This window comes from Homo sapiens, chromosome 5, assembly GCF_000001405.40.
Source record: "Homo sapiens chromosome 5, GRCh38.p14 Primary Assembly".
Taxonomy (NCBI): domain Eukaryota; kingdom Metazoa; phylum Chordata; class Mammalia; order Primates; family Hominidae; genus Homo; species Homo sapiens.
Window position 1 is genome coordinate 42,984,159 of NC_000005.10, and position 25,503 is coordinate 43,009,661.

Consider the following 25,503-nt stretch of genomic DNA (forward strand, 5'->3'; position numbering starts at 1 on the left):
TGACCTTGTAATCCGCCTGCCTCGGCCTCCCAAAGTGCTGGGATTACAGGCAAGAGCCACCACGCCCAGCCAAAAAAATTTTTAAGGTACAATTTTATGTAAGGCATAGGATTCTTCTTTTTCAAAACCCAACCTAATTATTTCTTTACTCATTTCCCTACTTGATATGAATGCCTGATAACCTGGGACTTCAATCCAGCTCCAGCATGAACTACCTTTGTGATCTTGGACTGTGGTGTAAACTCACTGAGCCTCATCTTTAAACCAAGCAATACCTCTTTGATATGCTAAAACATCAAATATAAGTGTATTTTGTCTAGGCATGCCTGACACACAGAGTTTCTAGAGGAAAGATCCTGCCCTCTAAGCCCTGGTGCAACAGACATCACCACACCCATTCCTGGGATCCCTGACTGTACTTCCTGCTTCCTGGATATCTTTTCAAATAATGTATTATATTTTATTTCATCTCTGAATGATTAAATAAGAGGTCAAATTTGCTCCTATTTTACAAAGTCCCTTTCATGAATACATTCCTAGTAAAAGTTAATGTTTAGAGATTGCTTGGCAGAAAATAATCTTCTCAGTTGGTAATAAAATCACTAATTTTTGTTTTTTATGGCTTGAAAGATAATTGTAATAAGAACAAATATAAAATGGTGACTTCTTTGGTGTATTTTTTCTGTAAGTCAATTTTTTCCATTTCAGGTCATATCCATAGTGAAATTATAATATGTCTTCATCAGAGTCAAATATTCTATTTACAAAAGCATCAATGTAAATAGAAAATATTCTATTTACAAAAAAAAACAATTTCATGATCAGATATTATTCTTTACTGTTAATAAAGTAATAACATGCCAGACTGAAGCCAACATTTCACACCCATGTGTTAATATTCTACCATGGGCAGGGTATGGTATCTCACACATGTAATGACAGCTCTTTGTGATGCAGAGTGGGGAGGATACCTTGAGGCCAGGAGTTTGAGACCAGCCCAGGCTATATAGAAAGATCCTGTCTCTACAAAGAAATTATTTTATAAATTAGCCATGGGTGGTAGCACACAGACCTAAAGTCCTAGCTATTCCGAGTGCTGAGGTGGTAAGGTTCCCTTAGGTGTAGGAGGTAGAGATTACAGTGAGCTACAATTGTGCCACTGCATCCCAACTGTTACAGGACCAACAGATTCATATGCCTGCTGCACACTTACATACCAATTACACTGAGACAGCAGAGTTTGCATCAGAGAAAGAGTTTAATGATTACAGGCTTCTGAGTGAGGAGACAGGAGCAAACCTTCAAATTCATCATTCCAGAGAGTTCTGGGCTACAGTTTTTAAGGGGATTGTGGAGGGTGAGAGGCTGGAAAATTGGAGAAATTGATCAGTTGGGGTAGGGAGATGAAATCATCAGGATGTGGAAACTGCATTTTCTGGTGACTCACCTTCTCATGGGATCCTGCAGAACAGCTGACATGAGTAGTTTTACTGGCATGCAGGACCTGAAACAATATTTCAAAGGGAAAACTTAATGTTTCCTTAATATTTAAGTTGTTATCTATAAAGTAGTTGAGGTGAACTATGATCTTGTAGCAGAGTCTACATACTTCTGAGAAAATAGGCAGTAAACAACTATAAGGAAGCAGGTCAGGGACAAGTTGACCTAATGATTAATGCTGAGTGTGCTGGGATATAGTATGGATGTTTGTCCCTGCTCAGATCTCATGTTGACTTATAATCCCCAATGTTAAAGGTGGGACTTGGTGGGAGATACAGGGTCATGGGAGTGGATTCCTCCATGGCTTGATGCTGTTTTTGCAATAGTAAGCTTTTGCACCATCTCATCGTTTAAAAGTGTGTGACAACTCTCCACCACTCTCTCTCTCTCTTGCTTCCACTCTGACATGTGATGTTCCTGCTCCTCCTTTGCCTTACAACATGACTGGAAGCTTCCTGAAGTCTCCCCAGAAGCAGACGCCACGATGCTTCCTTGTACAGCCTACAGAACCATAAGTCAATTAAACCTTCTTTTGTTTTGTTTTGTTTTTTACAAAATGCCCAGTCTCAGGTATTTCTTTATAGCATGCAATAATAGCCTAATACATGCTACCTGCGGAGTTTACATTCATTTCTCTCTGATAAAGTTTAGATGACGTTTCTCCTCCAAATATCATGTTGAAATGTAATCCTCAATCTACAGATGGGGTCTGGTAGGAGGTGTTTGGGTCATGGGGGCAGATCCCTCATGAACGGCTTGGTGCCCTCCCCGCCATAATGAGTTTACAGGAGATCAAGTTGTTTAAAAGGAGGCCCGGTACCTCTCCCTCTCTCTCTTGCTCCTTCTTTCACCATGTGATACACATGTTTTTCCTTTGTCTTCCACAATAAGTGGAAGCTTCCTGACACCCTCAACAGAAAACGCTAGTGTCATGCTTGTACAGCACAAAACTGTGAGCCAAAATAAAAATCCTTTCTTTATAATTTAATCAGTCTCAGTTATCCATTATAGTGTGAACATCAAATATCTGAGACAGGTCTCAGTCAATTTAGGAAATTTATTTTGCCAAAGTTAAGGGCACGCACCCATAACACAGCCTCAGGGAGGTCCTGACCACATATGACCAAGGTGGTCATGGCACAACTTGGTTTTATATACTTTGGGGAGATATGAGACATCAATCAATATACATAAGATGTACATTGGCTCCGTCCGGAAAGGCGGAAAAACTCAAAGTGGAGAGGGGGCTCCCAGGTCATAGATTGGTAAAAAACAAACAGATGCATTCTTTTGAGTTTCTGATTAGCCTTTCTAAAGGAGGCAATCAGTTATGCATTTATCTCAGTGAGCAGAGGGATGACTTCGAGTTCTGTCTGTGCTTTGTCCACAAAGAAATTCCTTGTGAGGGTGAGGGAGGTATGTGGCTTTTTTTTTTCCTTTGAGAGCAAGTTTTGCTCCTGTTGCCCAGACTGGTGTGCAATGGCAGGACCTCAGCTCACCACAACCTCCACCTCCCAAATTCAAGCAATTCTCCTGCCTCAGCCTCCCGAGTAGCGGGGATTACAGGCATGTGCCATCACACCCGGCTAATTTTGTATTTTTGGTAGAGACGGGGTTTCTCTATGTTGGTCAGGCTGGTCTCAAACTCCCGACCTCAGGTGATCCGCCCACATCAGCCTCCCAAAGTGCTGGGATTATAGGCGTGAGCCACTTTGCCTGGCCGGTATGTAACTTTTTCAACTTAGCAGCTATATTCTTTAGGAATAGAATGGAAGGCAGGTTTGCCCTAAAGCTCCCAGCTTAACTTTTCCTTTTGGCTTAGTGATTTGGGGGTCCCTGGATTTATTTTCCTTTCACATTTCCTCCCGTTTCTTTTTAAATTCTTTCAGATAAAGCATTTTACAAGAAAGTGAGTCTCCTCTAACATGATATTTGGAGGAGAAGAGCCATCTGATCTCTCATGGCTACGATGGTTTATTCCCAGTTGGGTAGGACACACATTATTAGGAGGGCTCATTTTTAGCAGGTTGTGAAGTCTCACATCCTATGAAGAGAAAATATGGGTAGGAAAGGAGAAAAACAGCGACAAACAAACCAAAAAAGATAATTCTGGAAAATCAATATGGGCCATAATACTTTGAAGTCCATACATCAGCAGGCAGGTATGAGAGTGGTTTATGTATGTACATAGGTTGTTCTTATTTACTTCTGAAGTTTAAGTTGTCTAGCTTCATTTTGCAGGGCTTTAAGAAAGCACAGTTTAGTTTTCAGTGATTTAAAATTAGGAAAAAATGGGTAAGGGAAAGGAAAAGAAAGAAGAAAATAATTGAAAACATCATTTTGGAGACTTTTAGCCAGAAAAAAATTTTGGAATTCAGTCCAAACTGTAGAAAATAATAAAAATTAAATAACATTAGGCAAGACTAGAATCTAACAGCATGTATACTATAGTTGTTGAAACATAATTTTTCTCTCTCCAGTTTCCCATTTTTACTAAAGAGAAATCATGGTAGGACCTATTCGCTTTATTATACTTGGTCTGATTATTTGTATAAAGTGCCGCAAGAACAATTATTTTTCACACAAGCCTTTTTAAATGACTTTGATGGAACTCTATTCCATAGAAAAAGTCTCAGATAAGACTTTTTAAAAGCCGAGCCCGGCCATGGCTTTGTACCATCGAATACATATGAGTTGGGTAAATTCCCCTCCTCTAGAGGTCCCAAGATCACTTGGGGCTCCTGGGCTTGTCAAAAAGTGACATTCTTTACTTACCACAAATCAGAAACCCTGTATAGGGTCTGTGTAGACAAGGTTTGGGGCCTGTTTTCCCAAGGAGCTTTTATTGGCTCTGTAACTCAAGTTTGACTCCTTAAAGAAAAGCACACCATTTCAGTCAAAGCCTTGGTAAAATAACCAGTTTCTCCAATGGTGTTCTGTTGCAAAAGAAAACATTCTTATTGCACTTATGCAAATAACTACATTGACATAAGTTAAGAATATTCACAAATAGTTTCCAAATTCTGGAGAAATCAGGTAAAGAGAAAGAAATATGCTCCAAATTTTGTTCACTGGAGTATACTTTACTGAATTGTTAAAAGCTGTCAATAGCTCAAAAGTAAAGTTTCCTTGACTCAGGAAAACATAAAAAAGGATCAGCAATTTTTTAAGGATCAGCAATTTTTTAGCAAAAAAGTCAACAATATCATTTCAGTCTTCTATTTGTTCGGTCCATGCAATTAACTCCTGTTTGATATTCACGAATACTTCAGCTCTCCATGAGAGTCCTAAAAGTTTACTCCTCTATTCCACTTTAAAAAAAAAAAAATGTTCCCAAGCAGACTCATGTCACATTTTTCTTTATTCTAATGTCACAATCTCCAGAGTAATTAGAAACCTGCATTCAAAAACACCTATCAAAATCCAATAGCTAATTATAAACGACCTTTTGAAGAGGACTGAAAATAAGACAATTGTCTGTGGATGACAAAGTCTTAGGACAGGGTTTTATAATCTATCAAACATTTGTGGAGAGTGTTTTACAAAAAAAAAAAAAAAAACAAACAAAAACCTTTGAGCTACACAGTGAATGTAAAGCTGAGGCTAGACAGGAATGGGATAGGGTGAATCTTCAGTCCCAGAGATCAACAGCCAATGGTTCATTTTTTGTAGGTTAACCTGACCTGGTGGAGTCCTCCATTGGTACCAAGCACAGTTCTTCACTTTCAACTCTAGATGACTTACCCCGGGGCACTTTTACCTTTTGCTTTCTGTCTAGCCTCCTACACAGTCTTTCTTTTACCTACTCTACTAGACTAAGTGATTATAACTGTTATCATCTTTTCTGAGCCTATAATCAAAAGTCAGTATCTGACAAAGAAGCAGATTGTTAAATCCAAGAATTTCTCTGTATCAGGAAAGTATTAATATGGATTCCTGCCTCCTCATTCATTAGTTGCACAGCTTCCTGCAACATAACAACTGGCCAGAAGATTCACCTGTGCAAATTGCCTGAGTGTTGGAGACTGCTTTTATTTGATCTCTCCCACCATCCACCCCGTTTTTGTTTTGTGTCACTTTCATTTGGTTAATAATATTCTAACAATATTTATCATTATAGTTATCTTGATTTGATGCAATTTTTCTTAATGAGATTGATAAAAATATTAGTCTTTCTTAATTCTTTATTATTTATTGTTTTGGATAACACACTGGAAAGGGAAATAGGAAAGGCTCTACATCGTTTGTCATATGTGCTCCACAATTTGCCCTCAAGTTTGATTCCTAGGTCCTACCACCCACACAAAACTGCCATCACCAGCCTGCTCCAATTCTACCCAATTACTAGCCATTGTCATAATTCAAAGTTCCTATGACCTCCTCCAAAGGAGCACAATTTTGTATTTGATCACTTTCTGACCTCCCTGGAATCTACCCCACCTCCAATCACACTAGGATTAGAATCTAAATTCTGCAGCTACCTTGATATCAGTCTCTGTAGGGAAGCAGCCTGCAGCCTCCTATGGACTCCCATCAAGACAGGTTACCTTTTCCCGCTACAGGGTGTTGCTCACAGATTTTTTTTACTAAGATGGGAAGCTGGAGTAGAAATGGGAACAGAGGGCCGGGCACGGTGGCTCACACCTGTAATCCCAGCACTTTGGGAGGCCAAGGCGAGCAGATCACGAGGTAAAGAGATCGGGACCATCCTGGTCAACATGGTGAAACCCCGTCTCTACTAAAAATACAAAAATCAGCTGGGCGTTGTGGCACGCTCCTGTAGCCCCAGCTACTCAGGAGGCTGAGGCAGGAGAATCCTTGAACACGGGAGGCAGAGGTTGCACTGAGCCGAGATCGCGCCACTGCACTCGAGCCTGGTGACAGAGCAAGACTCTGTCTCAAAAGAAAAAAAAAAGAAATAGGAAGAGAGAACTGATGGTAGGTATTTTGCTTTGCAATGACTCCAGACTGCTCTTCTATTTCATAGTGTCTGTAACTATGTGGGTGAGAACAGTGTAGTTTTTCCTTTATTCTTGCAACCACAGGACCAGGAGGCAATTGGAGGAGCCTCAAATAGCAGGGAAGGTTTTGGCTAGCTGAAGAAGGGGTATGGTGGGAGGGAGATATTGAGGCAAATCCCTTGGGAGACAGAATTGCAAGGGCAAAATAGATTTCCTTACCTGGCAGTGCCTTCTCTGCCTTTGTCCTGCCATCGCTTCTGCCTAGGATCCCCCAGAAAAGGATAGTACTGGTTTGCACAGGAGCAGAAGTGGTGAAAATGGGAAATGATGAGTGTGGATGGAGATGCTCATGGCAGGGTCTGTAGGTCTCTTTGAGGGGGCTCAACTCACAAAGTGCAGATTTTTATTGAAATATGAATGCTTGTAGAAAGGACATTTTCCTACTGAGCAATGGCAGTTCCATATTTCTTATCAGAAAGGAAGTAGGCCTCAGTCTGATTGAACAGTGAGGAGAGGGAGGATTCAACACTTACAAGTTCACCTGCATTGCATTTCCCAGAAGAAAGAAGAAAATCAATAACGCATTTCAAAGATCACGGTGCTAGAGACAGAGAACCACAATTTAAGCTTTTCCCTGGGCTTAGAGGCGGATGTCTCACTGCCAATTTCACGTCCAACACCGGAGCCTCGCAGTCCATTTTTCTCCCCAGCTGTTTTAGAAATATCCCCAAATATCAAGGACATCTGAATGAGTGAACCATCAGAATAAGGAGCGATTCCCACAGAGTTCCATCCCACAGGGAAGGGACGGGACCAGCGGGGCAGGCCTGAAGCCTGGGTTGAGCGGCGCTGTGCCTTTCATTCTTCACCGAGATCTCGGACCTAGAGTTTCCAGGTTCCGGAGGGATGCGGTTGTTGACCGCTAGCCTAGAATCCGTGAGGGCTGAACCGGGACGAAGGCCTAGGACAGAGAGGTGGTGTGGAAGGACCCAGCCGCGGCCACTGGAAGAGCAGCTTCCTGCAATGTAAAGTGTTCGCGACCTGCATTTGTTTTGCTTTCTTCCTGGAGGAGCCAAATCCGTCCCATTCTGGATCCTTATTCCAGCTCCTTTCCCTCTGCGAATCGCACTTGGTGGGTCGCGGGGCCCTCAGTAATTAGGGATCACGGATCAGCCAAGAAAAATACAGGTTTTCTTAAGCCTGAAGCCACTGACTTGAGGAGGGAGCGTGGGAGTAATGTCAGTAGCAGTTTTTTATTTCGTTTTCGTTTTTATTTTCTAGTCACTAGGCCACCAAAGAAAGTTCCACCCAACGGCCAGTCGATCCGTCGCAGCGACTCTCTTTTCCCTGAACGGAGGGTTTATGGCTGACACCTCCACTTGTTTCTCAGAGCCGGGGCTGACTGCCGGCTGCATCTTTGAATGGCGACCAAAAAAGACATGCATTTGTCTGGCAAAGTCGCTGGCGTTCGCCTGGTGCCCGCGCTTGCCGGGTCCTAGAGCAGCCAGATTTTCACACCAGCGAGTCCAGCGCCCAGCGCCACTCCGCCTTCGGATCACCGGTTTCTCACATCCGCAGCAGCACTGGCCTGACAGTTTTCCGGTTGCGACAGCGCTAGTTGAGCCAAACAAAACGTTTTCCTGCTTGCTCTGGGCGTCCCATTCTCCATCCGAGGCCTTCTAGTCCCGGTGTCACTGTCGCAGCACCTGGCGTTCGTTAGCTCTTTCACCAGCGGCGCGGAGCGGGCGGTTTTGCTGTCACGGCACATGTGGCACGGAGTTTCTCGGTGGCCGAAACCCTCTTTTTTCTCAGAGTCCAGTTTCTTGGTGACAGCGCTGTTGGTTGCGCCATAAGGAATGTTGTCCTTGACAACCCGCCGGCCGCAGTCATTCGCAAGCTCCAGGCACCGACATTTCGCAGAACTGAGGTCTCTCGGTCTCAGCACAGCTCGTTGCTCGATGCCTCCATTTTCTCGGGGCGACAGCACTCAGGTCGCCGATCTGAGGGATTCGGAGCTTCCCCAGCTGGGGTGAGCCTGGCGTTCCCGGGCGGCGGCGGCGGCGCTGGGCTAGGGGAGCCCGCCGCTCCTCCAAGCCGGTGACAGGGGAGCTGCCCGGGCGCCGTCTCTTCCCAGCGCCGCCGCAGAACCCGCAGAACAGCTCGACCTCCAGAACCCTGTGCTGTGGCGGCGGGGCTGGCGTGTCTGTCGCAGGACCCCGCAGATTCGTCTGTCGTTGGCTTGTTGGTCCTAACAAGTTTCGATTTCAGGGTGCCTGCGTTTCTTTTTCTTTTCTCTTCTTTTCCTTTTGTTTTGTTTTGAGACAGAGTCTCGCCGTGTCGCCCAGCCTGGAGTGCAGTGGCGCGATCTTGGCTCACTGCAACCTCCGCACCCCAGGTTCAAGGGATTCTACTGCCTCAGCCTCCTGAGTAGCTGGGATTACAGGCGCTCGCCACCACGCCCGGATAATTTTTGTATTTTTACTAGAGGCGGTGTTTCATCATATTGACCAGGCTGGTCTCGAACTCCTAACCTCAATAATCTGCCCGCCTCGGCCTCCCAAACTGCCAGGATTACAGCATGAGCCGCTGCGCCCAGCCGGTGACTACGATTTCTATCCCCTGGTTCAAGTCGGGGAATAGCCAAAATGTGATTTCTCAACCCAAGCAAGTACCCACTTAGGACAAACACCAGCCTAGCCCTGGCGGCGATTTCTAGGTCGTAGGAAGTCGATGTTTCGCCACAGAAAGGCTGAGTGACCCTGTGACTCATTTCCCAGCAACTCCGGGTTTCCTGTAGCCTAATCATAACAAACGCAGAGTTAGCCCTGCCTCAAGTTTCTTTTTTCTTTTTCTTTTTTTTTTTTTTTTTTTTTTTTTTTTTGAGACAGAGTTTCTTTCGTCCAGGCTAGAATGCAGTGGCGCCATCTCGGCGATCTCGGCTCACTGCAACCTCCACCTCCCGGGTTCAAGTGATTCTCCTGCCTCAGCCTCCCAAATAGCTGGGATTATAGGCGCCCGCCACCACACCCGGCTAATTTTTGTATTTTTAGTAGAGACGGGGTTTTGCCACATTAGCCAGACTGGTCTCAAACTCCCGACCTCAGATGATCCACCCGCCTTGGCCTCCCAAAGCCTCAAGTTTCTAAGTCGTGGCAAGTTCCGGCTTCCTACTAGTACGGCTTGCTTTAGCTGCGCAGGAGATGTTCAACTCCTGTAGAAATCTGTGTACCAGCGAATGCGATTCATTTAGGTTTAGCGATGACCAGTTTAGCAGTGCCTGGGAGCTCTTACACCAAGGCTAGCTGCGCAACATCAAGTCCCGCCTTAGCTATGTTGGTGTTTTTTAAACTCCCATGGAAGTCAGGAAATGCCGGCAAAAGCGATTTCTGGTTTACGAAGCTCGGTTTGACGATAGCAATTTCCGCCGAACGCGACTTTTTCCTCTTGTGGACCAAGTCGGGATATATCAGCTACTACGATTTTTTAGTCGTAAACAGGTTTAACCATGACTGGGTTTTGTTGGTTTCTTGTTGTTGTTGTTGTTTGTTTTTGTTTTTGTCCTAAGAAATGTAGACTTAGGTGTAACATGTACCGGTTTAGATCTAACAGGGATATCCTAATCACAGAATTGCTTCTTTTGGCAATACTTGTAATTTCTGCTTTGTAGGGTTGGTTCTCTCTAATTTTTGCTTATTTTTAAATGCTCTTTTTGTGTCTTTTGCTCTGAGAACAATGCTACCGGTAGTTTCCAGTGTGTTTGCTTTGCCTTTTTATTTGAATTTTAGAATTTATTATTTTAAAATTTTATCTTATTTAAATGTTATTCATTTTTCTTCTACTAATTTTGAGTATCACAGCTTCGTACTCCTTGACTTGCATTCTCTCAGGAGCTGGGGAGCCAAGCTCGGTCTCCGCTTCGGTGGTTTCAGGTCCCGGGTTCTGTCTGGCGGCTCTGCTTCTAATGCGGAGCTGGCGGTTTTGCAGCAACGCTTTTGCCAGTAGCGCCCACTGAGCGGTTTTTCAGTTGCTGCACCGTTCTTAGCGCCCAACGGAACGTTTCCCGTACGCGGAGTCCATAAGTTGTCTGTGTCGTCACTTTCTCGGTTCTGGCACCGCTAGTATCTCCTAGGAACTTCCTAAACCCGTTTTACGGTGCAGAACGGTAATTGCACCGAGCCTCTGTGCCAACTAGTACTTCCGTAATACCGTTAGCCGGCTCTTTTCCTGTCACAACACATTAAAACGTGTTAAAACACATTAAACGGATTAAACACATTAAACGGATTAAAACACATTAAAACGTCACAACACATTTAAACAGAGTCGGTCCATTCCTCCAGACAGTATGTTTCGGGATGGAAGCACCCCTCCTAAGAATCCGCAGTTTCTTTCTAGCAGCACCGTTATGGCGCCTAAACGGATATTTGTTTGGCAATACCAGCGCTATCCGCTAGGTGCCGGCGCTTGCTGAGTCTCAGCGCCGCCAGATTCTTGCTAGCGAGGTCCAGAGCAGTGCAGAGACCTAGCGGACAGTTTTCCGGTGGCAGCAATGCTCATTTCCCGGACACAGATGGTTTTTGGCCCCTGAAGAACTCTTTAATCCCTGCGTTTTGTAGCGCTCGTTCTCTGTAAGGTTTGCTTAGTATCCGTTTCATTTCGACTTCTTTTCTCGCTGTTTTTCTGTCGGAATTACGATTTGTTTTGTTTCTATGTGCTCTCTAGAATTTTACCGGTTTTCATTTGTCTACTAATTTTCGTGCATTCGTTACTATTGAGTTTCATAATATCTGGGTGCCCTCTGCCCACGAGCTCCGGAGAGCATAAATACCCAGGCTGATGGTAGTGCTAAAGGTTCTGCTTCATCTCGTCAATCAGCGCAAACGCTTATGTCCTCCTGCTCTGAGGCTTAATTAAGCGATGGAGCAACATTTTCTTGGCTATGTGAAGCCTGCTTGAGATTCCGCAGAGGTGGTGCCTGAGCTCCAGCCTCGGCCTATTTTGAATTCAGAAGACTGTGATATTACTGTGTGAGCCACCACTTTGGGAGGCCAGCATGGGCAGATCACTTGAGGTCAGGAGTTGGAGACCAGCCTGGCCCAAGTGGTGAAACCCCATCTCTACTAAAAATACAAAAATTAGCCGGTGATGATGCATGCCTGCAATCCCAGCTACTCAGGAGGCTGAGGCAGGAGAATCTCTTGAACTCGGAGGCAGAGGTTGCAGTGAGCTCAGATCGTGCCACCGTCCTCCAGCCTAGGCAGACTGAGACTCCGTCAAAAAAAAAAAATCTTAGAGTTATATTTTATGAAATAATAGGTAGTCATTAAATGTCTGGGTCATTCTCAACTTTACAAAAGTACTGTAGGCAAACATTTTTCCAAAGAAAAAGTGTTATTATTAAAAGGAAAATAGTTTTATCTAATTCAAAGGTTATTTAGGAAAAAGGTAAAAACATACTGTACATTTTATCAAAATAATTCCTGTGTAATTATTACTAGGTTTTTATTTGCTTAGAAAAACTGAGATTAAAAAAGGTTATTATATCTACATAACTTTCTGTAATTCTTTTAACGTTTTTGTGTTACCAAGTTACAGGGCTTTCACTCCTGGGTCGAAAAAGGTCACCAACTCCTACTAAATCTTAAACATTAACAGCAACTGAAGCCTCATCTTCAGACCTAAGAGAAGATGAAAATCAGAAGAAGCTGCATTCACAAGACCTGTGTCCAGAAAATTAAACTATTCAACCCCCTAGTCCCAGGGACTATTGCAGAAGAAGTGGGTGTTTGGACTTGTAAGGACCTACTTTAAGAGAGAAAGTTAGTTCAGTATTTCTCTATAAACAGTGGTTTTGTTTTGTTTTGTTTTGTTTTGTTTTGTTTTGACAGGAACTAGCTCTGTCACCTGGGTTGGAATGCAGTGGCATGATCCTGGCTCACTGCAACCTCCATCTCCCAGACACAAGCGATCCTGCCACCTCAGCCTCCTGAGTAGCTGGGACTGCAGGTGTGTACCACCATGCCTGGCTAATTTTTGTATTTTTTGTAGAGACAGTGTTTCATCACATTGCCAAGGCTAGTCTCAAACTCCTGAGATCAAGGAATCCACCCACCTATGCCTCTCAAAGTACTGAGATTACAGATGTGAGCCACAATGGCCAGCCTATAAAGATTAATATAAAAGGAACACTGATGCAAGACCAGCCTGTGGGCCCCTGTGTCAGATTAGCAATGTTTTCTTGAGGTATTAACCCATTCTTTTTTTAAACATTATAAAACGTTATGAAAGGTTTATAAAATTATTGCTTCTGGTCAAGATGATTAAAATTTAATACACTTGTCTATAAGATTTGAGAAATAGATTTAATTGGCTTCATTCTATCTTCATTAGGTCTTATTTTTTGGGAAAGTAAGTCTCAAAGAGTAAAAGGTTTTGCCTTTTTGTTTTTGAAATATTTGAGTTACCACTTTGACTAAATGACTGACTTATTTTACAATGACCTGTGATTCTATTTTGTGATATCAAGTGTTTTAAACATTGACCTTGTTTTAAGTATTTGACAAACTTTCTAAAATCCAATTCTAAATTCGGTCTTTTTTACCTCATTAATTTTTTTGACATTAAGTCCCCTGAAATCCAAAGAGATATATTTGGCTTATTTGGCATAATAAGATCACATAAGATGCATTATCAAATATGAAATGATATTTAACTTTCTTTAGATTGTATTTATATGAATGTCTTATTAGTATGTATTACAAAATCGTATGAGATTCCTGTGATTCTGAAATGTTAGTGTATGTTATCAGAACTAATTATGATCATTATATTAAATTGTTGTACGCCATAGCTATAACCAAATTTCCTTGTCCATTGCATCTTTAACCCTTGCTATTCTAATACTTTTGCCATCAACAATTATTGTTTTACTTTGATCCTTTTATAGGATTATAATCAGCTATAGACCTCTGAGACTACTGTTTTTTGTTTCTTTTTTTTTTTTGAGATAGGGTCTCATTCTGTCACCCAGGCTGCAGTGTGGTGGCATGATCACTGTTCAATTTACCCTCAATCTCCTAGGCTCAAGCAATCCTCCTACCTCAGCCTCCCAAGTAGCTGAGACTACAGAGGCACACCAGGCACCCAGCTAATTTTTAAATTTTTTGTAGAGGTAGAGTCTCCCTATGTTACCCAGACTCGGCTCAAACTCCTGGGCTCAAGCAATCCTCTCATCTCAGCCTCCCAATGTGCTGGGATTTCTGGAATGAGCCACCACACCCAGTCTTTTAATACATTTATTGTTTCTTCATTAACAAATGCTAAGCATCTATATTGTACTACAAAGGGATCAAGGTCCCAGAAATAAGTGATCAACAAGTAGACATGGACTTGGCCACAAAGTGTTTGACACCTTCATGAGTTGAAAAAAGACAGTAAACAGGAAAACAAATAAATAAATAAGACAGTATTTATATAATAAATGCTTTTTGTTGCTGTTGTTGTTGTTTTGTTTGTTTGTTTTTAAGACAGTCTCACTCTGTTTCCACTGCTGGAGTGCAGTGGCATGATCTCGGCTCACTACAACCTCTGCCACCTGGGTTCAAGCAATCCTCCCGCCCCAGCCTTCCGAGTAGCTGGAACTACAGGCGCTCAACATGCCTGGTTAATTTTTGTATTTTTAGTAGAGACAGGGTTTAGCCGTGTTGGCTAGGCTGGTCTTGAACTCCTTACCTCAGGTGATCCACCCACCTCGGCCTCCCAAAGTGCTAGGATTACAGGCATGAGCCACTGCGCTCGGCCGTGATAAATGCTATCAAGAAACTTAACATAAGTGTATAGTAGGATGCTATATTAGGTAGTATAGTAAGACTAGAATTATCCGCGATTTTCCACTTCGATATGAATAATGCAATGAACAAAGCGAAAAAAAAAATCTGGGCCAGGTGCAGTGGCCCACATCTGTAATCCTAGCACTTTGGAAGGCTGAGGCAGGAGGATCACTTGAGGCCACGAGTTTGAGACCAGCCTGGCCAACATAGTAAAACCCCCTCTCTACTAAAACTACAAACATTAGCCAGACATGGTGGCATGAAACTGTAATCTCAGATACTCGGAAGGCTAAGGTGGTAGAATCATTTAAACCCAGGGGGCAGAGTTTGCAGTGAGCTGGGATCCTGCCCCTGCACTTCTGCCTGGGAAACAGAGCAAGATGTTGTAAAAAAAAGAAAAAAAAACGAAAAAAAAAAACCCCAAAAACTGAAGGTGGAATTACCATCATGAGAGAAGAATCTAAGACTAGAACAACTTTATTATGGGCTAGGCATGGTGGCTAACATCTGTAATCCAAGCACTTTGAGAGGCTGAGGGAGGAGGATCACTTAAGGCCAGAAGTCCAAGACCAAACCAGATAACACAGTGAAACACAATTTCTACCAAAAAAAAAAAAAATTATTAGCTGGATGTGGTGATTCCTGCCTGCAGTCCCAGCTGTCTGTAGTCCCAGCCACTCAGGAGGCTGAGGCAACCACCAAGCTAGCAGCATGGTGAAAACCCATCTTTACAAAAAATACAAGAAAAATTAGCCAGGTATGGTGGCACATACTTGTATTCCCAGCTACTCTGTAGGCTGAGGGGGGAGGATCACCAGCTACTCTGGAGGCTGACGGAGAGGATCCCTTGAGCCTGGGAGGTCCAGGTTGCCAAGAGCATGACACTGCATTCCCACCTGAGCTGCAGCAAAAACCCTGTCTCAAAAAAAAAAAAAAAAAAAAAGACAATGAATAGGCAAAGCATCCCAAACAATAAATAAATAAATAAATAATGAAGCCCAAAGCATCACATTATCCAGCTTCAAGCTATTCTATAAGGATGCCATTATCCTAAACAAATTCATGCAGAAACAAATATTACATGTCCTCACTTAGAAGTGGGAGTTCAGCCTGGTATACAGGGACATAAAGATGAGAACAATAGACCACTGAGGACTCCGAAAGGAGGGAGGGAGGGACATAAGGGGGTAGAGGCTGAAAAACTTCCTCCTGGGGATTTAGTTCACTCTCTGGGTGATGAGATCAAGCCTCAGAATCACGCAATATATTCTCATAACAAACCTACACATGTACCTCCTGAATCTAAAATTAAAATGTAACATGAGTCAACGTAACACAGAATAATACAATAATAAAATATCTCCCCAAAAAATGATCCTCTAATTTTAAAAATGGGCAACTACCCTGGCCTGCTCCTCAGTAACATAGCGATCTTTAGGCATCTGACAAGCACTACTCTGAGGCAGAAAGGGATCCTGTCTGCTCTAGTACTAGCAATGCATTTGGGGACAATAATGAACTTTCTAACCAGGGTGCCCCAAGACGGCTTTCTCTGTACAAGAAAGGTGATATTTTTTCTTTTCAATTCCTAAAGCAAATTGTTTAACTAGATAACTTCATCTCAAATGATAGGACTTTATGTTAATCTCATTAATTCCATGTCCTGATGTAACTTGCTCCTAAGAATAAGGTTCACACCCACCTCCCTGCAATCTGATTTGGACGGCCCATGAGACCAGAAGATTACAAAAACGCAAAAGATGTTGACTTATGAGTCCTAGATACCCTGTATCCGCTGGTGAAAGGACGCGATGGAGTTGCCGTGTCCCCTCCGAGTTTGGCAGGCCCGGGATTCCGCAAAGGAGGCGGCGGGACCAGATGCCTCCAGCCCGGAGCTCAGTACATTCGGTGTCCTGGATGCTCCCTTCCTGTGCTTACCACTGCGAGCTCTCCTGGGCCGACCTAGATTTCCACTGCCACATACTTTCCGCTCCCTGCGTGCTTCCTTGCTGAAACTGCCGGCGAAAAGATCTCTTTCCCAAGCCTCAGAGTACCTGGAGGCGGGGCGCAGAGTCGCCTGCTCTGGATCCGGCGCAGGCAATTCAGGAGGAGCCGCAGGAGCCCTCGGGAGAGCAGGAGGCTGCATAGGGTCTCAACATACGCCCGCCCGCCCCCGCAGCCTCCCTCGCAACTCGCCTCTCGCTTAGTGGACAGACGACTGGAGCCGGAGACTTCCATCCGAGAAGACCTTTGAGAGTGTCAGCCTACTGCTGTCCCCTGGTGCCACCAACCAAAGTTCCAAGACTGCTGGCTGCAGATGGCATGCGCTTGGGGACAGACGCCCTGAGACTGTGTCCACGGCCCGCCTTTGGAATCCTGGGCCCTGAAACTTCCTCTGAGACCTTCCATTGGATGATCCTCTTGTAAATAAATAAATAAATAAATAAAGTTACAATAATACCTGAGTTCTCTCAAATGCGATGGAAGAAGTTTCGCCTTCAGATCACTTTATGCCTTTTTTCCTTCCTCTTCTCAATAAAATTGTACACAAATGTGAAATTCCTGTTACCTGAGTTCCTGCTGATGACGTTGAGTAAGGATGAGGCTCAGGGGTGGGGTGTCTGGTTGCTGTTGCCAGGACTGGCAGGGAAACCTGGGTCGCCTGGATTTGCTGGTTGCAGAGCAAAATCAAATACAAAAAGTGGTGTGTCTTATGCAGAGATTGGAGGGGAGGACCGGCCCGGGGTCATGCAGGGTGGGGGACTCACAGGCTAAGCCTACAGGAAATCAAGTGAACAGGCAGAGGACCTGAGAACTTACTGCAGGAAATTCTCCTGTTCTAAGGCCCTGGAACTTTTTCCCTCTGAAGCTTTGCACCCTCCTATCTTGAGACCTTGCTAAACTCACTCATGAGTTCTGGAAGTTTGCTTTTAGACTCTTTAAGATAGGCTCATGTTCTGCAAGTATGGATAGTTTCATTTTTTTTTACTTCCAATGTATATGCTTTTTAACTCCTTTTCTCACCTTATTGCACCAGCAAACAATTCCAGTACCTTGTTGAATAGAAAGACTTGGAGAGGATATCTTTGCCTTGTTCCTGATTTCATGGGAAAGCATTGAGTCTGTCACTATTACATACAATTTAGCTATAGGTTTCTGTAGATGTTCTTTGCACAGTTGAGGAAATTCCCTCGATTCCCACATTGCTGAGAGTTGGTTTTTAAATTTTAAATCATGAATGGGTATAGTTTTTCTTAAAAGCATTTTTTGAATCATTTGATAGAATTGTATGATGTTTCCAATCTAGACAATCAATAGGGTGAATCATATTGATTGACTTTTGAGTATTAAACCAGCCTTACATGTGGAATAAACCTTACTTGGGCATGGTATTGTTCTTTAACATGCATTTCTGATTTCTATTTGTTAGTATTTTGGTGAAGATTTCTGCATCTATATGTAGGTGCAATATTAGTCAGCAGTTTTCTCCTAGTGTACTGTGTTTGCCAGGAAAATGCTGATCTCATAAAATAAGTTGGGAAGTATGCCATATTCTTCTATTTTCTAGAATAAATTGTGTAGAATTCATCTTATTAATTATTTGAATATTAGGTAAAATTAGTCAGTGAAATTGTAAGAACCTCTAGGTTTGTTTTTTGGAAGACATTTGACCATGAATTCAGTATTTTTAATAATTTCAAAAATTTACAGATTATTTTGTGTGATTTGGGTAGACTGTGGATCTTGCAGGATTGATCCATATTATCCAATTTGTTAAATTTATGAGTATAGAGTTGTTTTTAGACCATTTTAAAAAGTTACCCTTGTAGGCCAGGCAGGGTGGCCCACACCTGTAATCCCAACACTTTGGGAGACTAGGGTGTGTGGATAACTTGAGGCCCGGAGTTCAAGACCAGCCTGGCCAACATAGGGAAACCCCATTTCTACTAAAAATACAAAAACATTAGCCAGGCATAGTGATGCATGACTATAATCCCAGCTACTCAATAGGCTGAATCACAAGAATCACTGGAACTTGGCAGGTGGATTTTGCAATGAGAGCCAAGATTGTACCACTGCACTCCAGCCTGGGTGAGAGAGTGAGACTCTATCTCAAAAAAAAAAAAAAGTTACCACTATGTATATGTTGATCAACCTGAAGACACTGGTAGCTAATATCAGCTTGCCTCTCTAGATCTGCTTACCACTCTTCAGTCAGCACTATGGTACAAGAGGTAACTTAAAGGGGCGGCACTGGAGATCTACTTTCCCCGCCAGGCTTTTGATTGAGTTTAGCACTGAAAGACATCAGTTGTTCAGAGATACAGAGTAGTAATTTATTATCTTGCTTTGTTCACCCTGGCCTCAGGGTACTGAATTATTTTATCTAAAGTCAAAAATAGGCTGGCTGTGGTGGTTCATGCCTGAAATCACAGCACTTTGGGAGGCTGAGGCAGGAGGATCAGTTGAGGCCAGAAGTTCAAAACCAACTTGGGTAACAGAGTGAGATCCTGTCTCCACAAAAAATTAAAGAATTAGCCAGGCATGGTGGCACGTACCTGTAGTCTCTGCCACCTGGGAGTCTCCATGAGCTGAGGTGGTTGAGGCTGCAGTGAGCTATGCTTGTGCCACTGCACTCCAGCCTGGGTGACAGAGTGAGACCCTCTCTCTCTCAAAAAAAAAAAAAAAAAAAAAAAAAGCGAGAAAAAAAGAAAGAAAGAAAAAGAAAGAAAAAAAAATACTGAGGAGTGACCCTTTCCTTTAGCAGTTTCTTGCTTTCTCTAACACTACTCATTCTCTTGCCTCTGCTGAGATAGAAATGGTAATGCTGGCCGGGCGCGGTGGCTCATGCCTGTAATCGCAGCACTTTGGGAGGCCAAGGTGGGCAGATCATCTAAGGTCAGGAGTTCGAGACCAGCCTGACCAACATGATGAAACCTCATCTCTACTAAAAATAGAAAAACTAGCCAGGCGTGGTGGCAGGCACCTGTGATCCCAGCTATTCAGGAGGCTGAGGCAGGAGAATTGCTTGAACCTGGGAGCTGGAGGTTGCGGTGAGCCAAGATTGTGCCATTGCACTCCAGCCTGGGCAACAAGAGTGAAACTCCATCTCAAAATAAATACATACATACATAATTTTTTTCTTATTTTTTACACATTTTATACTTTGCCATGCCCTTGGTTTTTGCCCCCAGTTTTCCAAGTGCAAAAATGAATGTAACTACCTATTAAAAAAAACCAGATGGCTATTAAAAAAAACCAGAAGAATGTGGAGCACTTGGAACTTTTGTGCACTGTTTGTAGGAATATAAAATGATGCAGCCACAATGGAAAACAGCATAACAGCTCCTCCAAAAATTAAAAATAGAATTAGCATGAGATCCGGCAATTCTCTTGCTGGGGATATACACAAACATTTGAAAGCAGACACTTGAATAGATATTTATAAACCTGTGTTCATAGAAGCACTATTCACAAAAGCCAAAAAAATGAAGGCAACCCAAGTGTCCATCAATGGATGAATAAATAAACAAAATGGAGTATGTATATACAATGGAACATTATTCAGCTTCAAAAAGGAAGAAAATTCTGACACATGCTGCAACATGGATTTACCTGGAAGACAACATGTTAAGTGAAACAAGCCAGTCAAACAGGACAAATACTGCATGATTCACTTGTGTGAGGTACCTAGAGTAGACAAATTTATAGCAACAAAGTAGAATAGTAGTTTGCAAGAACTGGAGTTTGCAAGAAGCTGAAGCCAGCTTCCTGGGGTCACCAGGAGAATTCCCCCAATAAGCACTCGCCATCTGGGGCTGCTTCTTCTCTCAGGGTTCATTCTGCAGACACCTAGAGTCCACTTCCAGGAATTCTTTGCATTTCTGGTCCCAAGGAATTCCCATCCTTGCTTTTAATGGAGAGTATACATTTTCTAATGTTAATAACATTTGCCTCTTGTTTGTCTAGATTTGACATTGCACTGGAGTGTGCAGGTTCATTTCTCCAAATTTGGGACCGGATGGAAACTCTTTGGAAACCAAGTTATTTTCCAGTATCTTACAAAGAATGGACATTATTTTTATCTTTCTTTACTAAAAAAATGAAGAAGAAAAGGCCTGGTGAGGTGGCTTATGCCTGTAGAAATGTGATGCTTCCAAATTAAATGAGTGAAAGTTAAAAGCAACATGTATATTTTCCCTGAGAAACTACAAAGATCATTTAATTATACCCAATATTACTAGAGATGTGTGGCAAAATGCACTCTATTTTTACACAAGTATTTATATAATTTTGCCTCAGCAACTACAAAGATCATTTAAATTATTATACCCAATGTTACTGAAGGTGTGGGGCAAAATACACTCTAGTTTTGACAAGTATTTTATGAATTAAGTACTATATTTTCAAGAACGATATAGGAGTATCAATTAAACTTATCATACACAGTCATAATCAGAGGGTTTTATTTTTCTTTGAGGACTGTATCCTTTAAAGGCTTTCCCACATGGAAAGAATGGTGACAGACAAAACTTAAAGAGAGAAGACTTTCTAACAATAAGAAAACAATAATCACAATACATAGCCTTATCATAGTTCAGGGCAGGATCTCCTTGCAAATGAGTATAGAGACAAAATTTATACTCTATTAAAAAAATCCAAAACATTACCTTTCAAAACTCTAGGAACTTCCAAGTTGTTAATAAGGAAACTTATTATGGGACTCTATTCGATACTTCCACTTTCAAATAATTACAGAAATATTTGAAACTACTTCCCCTCCCCAATGATGAAGTATTACTCTCCAAATTTGGGGGAAGTAAAGATTTTTTTAAAAATTCCTGGCACCCTCTAAACTTTCTTCTTTCTTGCCTTTCTCAGATACTTTTTTTTTAGACAGGGCCTCGTTCTGTCACCCAGACTGGAGTGCAGTGGTGCAATCTCGGCTCACCGCAACCTACCTCCACCTCCCAGGCTCAAGTGATTCTCCTGACTCAGTCTCCCGAGTAGTTGAAATTACAGGCAAGCGCCGCCACGCCTGGCTAATTTTTATTTTATTTATTTATTTATTTATTTTATTATTATTATTTTTTGAGATGGAGTCTCGCTCTGTCGCCCAGGCTGGAGTGCAGTGGCGCGATCTCTCGGCTCACTGCAAGCTCCGCCTCCCGGGTTCACGCCATTCTCCTGCCTCAGCCTCCGGAGTAGCTGGGACTACAGGCTCCCGCCGCCGCGCCCGGATAATTTTTTGTATTTTTAGTAGAGGCGGGGTTTCACCATGTTGGCCAGGCTGCTCTTGAACTCCTGACCTCAAATGATCCACCCGCCTCGGCCTCCTAAAGTGCTGCGATTACAGGTGTGAGCCACTGCGCCCAGCCTCAGATACCTTTATTAGAAATAAAGGCCAATCAGAAATGAACCCAAAGTATTTAAGAACCATTAACGTCCCTGCTAGATGTCATTTTCATCAATTCCTCGTATGTGTGAATATGCTTTAGCCAAAGACCATCAGAAACTGAGTTTGCAGTTGAAGAAACTAGATTTGTTACTCCTCACCCAAGAACTTATCATAGAGAACCACGAGCTGTCTCAAAATGAGGGTGTTAGAAAGGACATTTTAGTGGATTCAGGCTTGTGTTTGGTGATTTGAGGTATAAAAAAAATCACTGAAAAAGAACAGTTATGTAAAGTAATTGTAATTAATATATAATGAACATTTACATTGTGCTAGAGTGTTCTAAGATCTTTCAATAGTATATAACTCAGGAAAAAAGTGGACACCATGATTAGTGTAATATGCCACTGAGTTTACTGAAAAGGAATATGAAGCATAAGATTTCAGTTTACTTCTGAAATGTTACACCTTATAGTGTATAAGTGATGGAGACCTGGTTTCCTAGGTCTTCACCACCAAGGTATACAGGTCTAGTCGCCTTGGCTTTACAGTCTTTAGGTAATCATTGCCTACCTAAGCTGCCCCACTCACATTTCAACTAGCCAACATTTCTGCCAACCCACCCTCCAGAACAGCAATTTGTAGAGCTGGGGACTACTGTACCACTTCCCAGGCACTTGTCAGAGCCCAGGAAGAACTTGGAAAGATAAAAGCTTTTGGCCAAAGACAGTCCTACCAAGTATGTGCTTGGGTTGAGGAATCAAGGAATGTAAGTGGGAGGAGTCCTGGCTTCTTTCCTACCTGCACTCCTTACCCAGCAACAGACCTCTGACTTGGTCTTGATCCTAAAACAACAACAACCAAACAAAACAAAAGAAACAAAAGGCATTTGATGTTTCTCTATTATTTTATTGAGAAAGACAACCAAACGTTGATAAAGAATAGTGAAGGCAAACTTTTTTAAAGAACATGGATAGACATTATTATTATTATTATTATTGAGACGGAGTCTTGCTCTGTTGCCAGGCTGGAGTGCAGTGGCAGGATCTCGGCTCACTGCAGTCCTCCCGGTTCAAGCTATTCTCCTGCCTTAACCTCCCAAGTAGCTCGGACTACAGGCGCGCGCCACCACGCCCGGCTAATTTTTGTACTGTTAGTAGAGACGAGGTTTCACCATGTTGGCCAGGGTGGTCTCGATCTCCTGACCTCGTGATCCACCCTCCTCGGCCTTCCAAAGTGCTGGGATTACAGGTGTGAGCCACCGCACCCGGCCCGGATAGACATTATTGTAAGTGATAATTATTTCCAAAAGGATGATCCAGTAGAAGCGCTAAAATCTCAGGTAATCTAGTCCCCGAAATCCCTGGATAATGCGGCCCGGAGAGTGGGGAGAAGTAAACATCAATTCTTCCCCAGGAGGGAGGAGAAAGCCAAGTGCAGCATCCGCGGACGTGGCACTGCAAAGGACGTCTTTCCTAAATATCCAACCCTCGGGGTTCTTCCTTTGCAGGAGTCTGTTCTTTTTGCCCCGTAGCCGAACCTAGGCAGGCAGCGTGGGGTGGAGTTGGCAAACGTCCTGCAACCCATGAAGAGCCGCTATGGTACCACTAGCGGTTCTAGGACCCAAAAACTAACGAAACTGCTCAGGAGAAGCTGCAGGCTTGACCCACCAGAGGTGCTGCCACCGAGATCAATTCTGCTCGGACGAATGAGCGGTGCTATGACTCAGAAAGTGCCAGTCCGAGGAACCAGGGATACTGGGACATAGTGAAAGGAGTTAGCCAGCTTTAGGGAGACTGTAAGGGAAGGGTCCCCAGAGAACCTCCGACTGGTGTTTTGTGCAGATAAGGGAACTTGCACAAGGGACTTGCCTAAGCATGCCTGCTGCGGATTAAGAGCGCGCATGCGCACTGGGGGAATGGGATGGAGCCACCCGGGATTCTCGCCTTATACAAACAGGGAACCCAGCCTCCTTAGCTTTCATATAAAAGCCTTTGTATTCAGCCGTTAAGGAGCAACCGGCAACCTGCTTTCAGGACCCTTGTTTTTTATGAGAGCTTTCGTTTACGCTTAATAAATTCTACTCCACTCACTCTTCGATATCCGCGTGCCCACTTCCTCCTGATCGTGAGACAAGGACCCGGATATAGCTGAGCTTAGAAGCAAAAATCCTGCATCAATAGCAAATGCGGACACTGAACGACTAGCGGAGTACCCAGCGGCAAACTTTAGTTTTTGGTGCAGTTAAGGTATTGCCACTAAGAAATCGTCGTCTCTGAGAAATATCGAGGCTTGGAAGGTTGTACAGTGCTTCCACCGAGAAAGCACCTACCCAATGAAACGCCTGTGGCAGAAAAACCGAGCCCAAGCCCTTCCAGCGAAAGTGCTGAAAGAGCGCCTCCTCGGCCAATCACTGGGCTGAGACCGTGAGACAGCCAGCCCGGGGAAAGTGGCGGCGCTAGGAGAGGGGAAGCGTTACCACAAAGCACTTCTGAGTCTTGTGAACAAGAAACGTTCTGGGTTGTTTTGTTTTTGAGAAGGAGCCTCGCTCTGTCACCCAGGCTGGAGTTCAGTGGCGCAATCTCGTCTCATTGCAACCTCCGCCACCTGGGTTCAAGCATACTGCCTCAGCCTCCCGAGTAACTGGGATTGCAGGCACGCGCCACCACGGCCAGCTAATTATTGTATTTTTAGTACAGACGGGGTTTCACCCGCTGGCCAGGCTGGTCTCGAACTTCTGACCTCGAGTGATCCACCCGCCTCAGCCTCCCTAAGTGCTAGGATTACAGGCGTGAGCCACAGCGCCCCGCCGAAACGTTCTGTTGTGTTCAGCGCTTCCAGCGGTGCAGCAGCCGAGAAAACACTGAGTCTCCGCTATTGGCGAAAGTGCTGATGCGAAACTGCTGGCTCGACATAGGCACAGAGCCGCGGAAGAGAACCCTAGAGACCAGGCACCAGCTCTGCTCCCCGACTCACGGGAGAAAGCTAGTTAGTAGGAAGCTGAGACATGATACTCAAAATCAGTAGAAGAAATTATGCCACATTTACTCTCCTGGGGAAGGCAGTGGGTAAGAAAAAATAAAATACATAACATTTACATAAAAAATAAAATAAATTTTTAAAGCAAACAGAAATGAAAATAAAATACACCAGTAACCTCGCTCCCAGAAAAAGACACATCAAAAAAAATTTTTTTGAGTATACAAAACATACAAATAACCCTACAAAGAAATTGCAGTGTTGAACGATGCGATCCTACGGCTATATTTGTATTAGCACTAAACCTGTGCCTCTTGCGCCTATTCGAAAATTCCTCGGATTAAGAAGAAACAGCCATGGCTAAACCGGTATTTGCGACACCAAAAAGTTCCTGTAGCCTAGACACCTCAACTTCTGCATGAGTGAAAAATCACAAGCACAGCCAGGGCGAGAATCTCTATTGTGAAATCACACTTGGTATGACTAAAAGATTTCAGGCACTGCTAAATTTTTTTTTTAATTACATTCTCCAGTACCCAGATTTCTACAAGACTTAAAAACCGTACGAACGGCTATAATGGGGGTTCCTATTACAAAACAGGAACTTGCAACGACTACGTAGGCACGGTTAAAGCCAGCATTGTTACAACTAGAAATCGAAACTGGAATAAATCTCAACTTGCTACGCTAAGAAATAGCTAAACCCTGACTTGGTCAGACTAAGAAATCGGGAGTTTGAGAGCAGCCCGGGCAACATGGCGAAACCCCGTCTCTACAAAAAATTCTGGGTGTGGCGATGGGGAGCCTGTAATCCCAGCTGCTGGAAAGACTGAGGCGG

The 25,503-nt window shown here is 43.4% G+C and overlaps 2 long non-coding RNA genes across 4 annotated transcripts, besides 10 other annotated features; one reads left to right on the forward strand and one right to left on the reverse strand.

Moving 5' to 3' along the window:
* Nucleotides 1-1,239: 1,239 nt before the first annotated feature.
* On the reverse strand, nucleotides 1,240-9,175 carry FLJ32255 (uncharacterized LOC643977). The gene is made up of 2 exons (NR_104643.1): nucleotides 6,681-9,175; nucleotides 1,240-1,504 (listed from the first exon to the last, which is right to left on the reverse strand). It is a non-coding gene; the product is annotated as an uncharacterized LOC643977 (long non-coding RNA).
* Nucleotides 7,650-7,799: an enhancer, noted in NCBI's record as "active region_22516". NCBI's record gives its function as "activates an Ori minimal core promoter by ATAC-STARR-seq in GM12878 lymphoblastoid cells {active_cell/tissue: GM12878}" and the evidence as "EXISTENCE:reporter gene assay evidence [ECO:0000049][PMID:35858748]".
* Nucleotides 8,117-16,849, forward strand: LOC105374746 (uncharacterized). Of its 3 annotated transcripts, none has more exons than XR_007058755.1 (3): nucleotides 8,117-11,089; nucleotides 12,051-12,704; nucleotides 15,975-16,849. It is a non-coding gene; the product is annotated as an uncharacterized LOC105374746 (long non-coding RNA). The 3 variants fall into 3 exon arrangements; XR_007058754.1 differs by having other exon boundaries at nucleotides 12,051-12,467; XR_007058753.1 differs by having other exon boundaries at nucleotides 8,117-12,467.
* Nucleotides 8,140-8,349: an enhancer, noted in NCBI's record as "active region_22517". NCBI's record gives its function as "activates an Ori minimal core promoter by ATAC-STARR-seq in GM12878 lymphoblastoid cells {active_cell/tissue: GM12878}" and the evidence as "EXISTENCE:reporter gene assay evidence [ECO:0000049][PMID:35858748]".
* Nucleotides 8,650-8,779: an enhancer, noted in NCBI's record as "active region_22518". NCBI's record gives its function as "activates an Ori minimal core promoter by ATAC-STARR-seq in GM12878 lymphoblastoid cells {active_cell/tissue: GM12878}" and the evidence as "EXISTENCE:reporter gene assay evidence [ECO:0000049][PMID:35858748]".
* Nucleotides 9,049-9,343: an enhancer, noted in NCBI's record as "tiled region #2050; HepG2 Activating DNase matched - State 1:Tss, and K562 Activating DNase unmatched - State 1:Tss". NCBI's record gives its function as "activates a minimal TATA promoter and a strong SV40 promoter by Sharpr-MPRA in HepG2 and K562 cells {active_cell/tissue: HepG2 | K562}" and the evidence as "EXISTENCE:reporter gene assay evidence [ECO:0000049][PMID:27701403]".
* Nucleotides 15,791-16,292: an enhancer, noted in NCBI's record as "H3K4me1 hESC enhancer chr5:43000051-43000552 (GRCh37/hg19 assembly coordinates)". NCBI's record gives its function as "activates a minimal SCP1, AML or CMV promoter by ChIP-STARR-seq in naive H9 embryonic stem cells {active_cell/tissue: H9 hESC(naive)}" and the evidence as "EXISTENCE:reporter gene assay evidence [ECO:0000049][PMID:30033119]".
* Nucleotides 16,293-16,792: an enhancer, noted in NCBI's record as "H3K4me1 hESC enhancer chr5:43000553-43001052 (GRCh37/hg19 assembly coordinates)". NCBI's record gives its function as "activates a minimal SCP1, AML or CMV promoter by ChIP-STARR-seq in naive H9 embryonic stem cells {active_cell/tissue: H9 hESC(naive)}" and the evidence as "EXISTENCE:reporter gene assay evidence [ECO:0000049][PMID:30033119]".
* Nucleotides 23,171-24,023: an enhancer, noted in NCBI's record as "H3K27ac-H3K4me1 hESC enhancer chr5:43007431-43008283 (GRCh37/hg19 assembly coordinates)". NCBI's record gives its function as "activates a minimal SCP1, AML or CMV promoter by ChIP-STARR-seq in naive H9 embryonic stem cells {active_cell/tissue: H9 hESC(naive)}" and the evidence as "EXISTENCE:reporter gene assay evidence [ECO:0000049][PMID:30033119]".
* Nucleotides 23,171-24,088: a biological region, named in NCBI's record as "H3K27ac-H3K4me1 hESC enhancer GRCh37_chr5:43007431-43008283".
* Nucleotides 23,509-23,558: an enhancer, noted in NCBI's record as "active region_22519". NCBI's record gives its function as "activates an Ori minimal core promoter by ATAC-STARR-seq in GM12878 lymphoblastoid cells {active_cell/tissue: GM12878}" and the evidence as "EXISTENCE:reporter gene assay evidence [ECO:0000049][PMID:35858748]".
* Nucleotides 23,999-24,088: a silencer, noted in NCBI's record as "silent region_15988". NCBI's record gives its function as "represses an Ori minimal core promoter by ATAC-STARR-seq in GM12878 lymphoblastoid cells {active_cell/tissue: GM12878}" and the evidence as "EXISTENCE:reporter gene assay evidence [ECO:0000049][PMID:35858748]".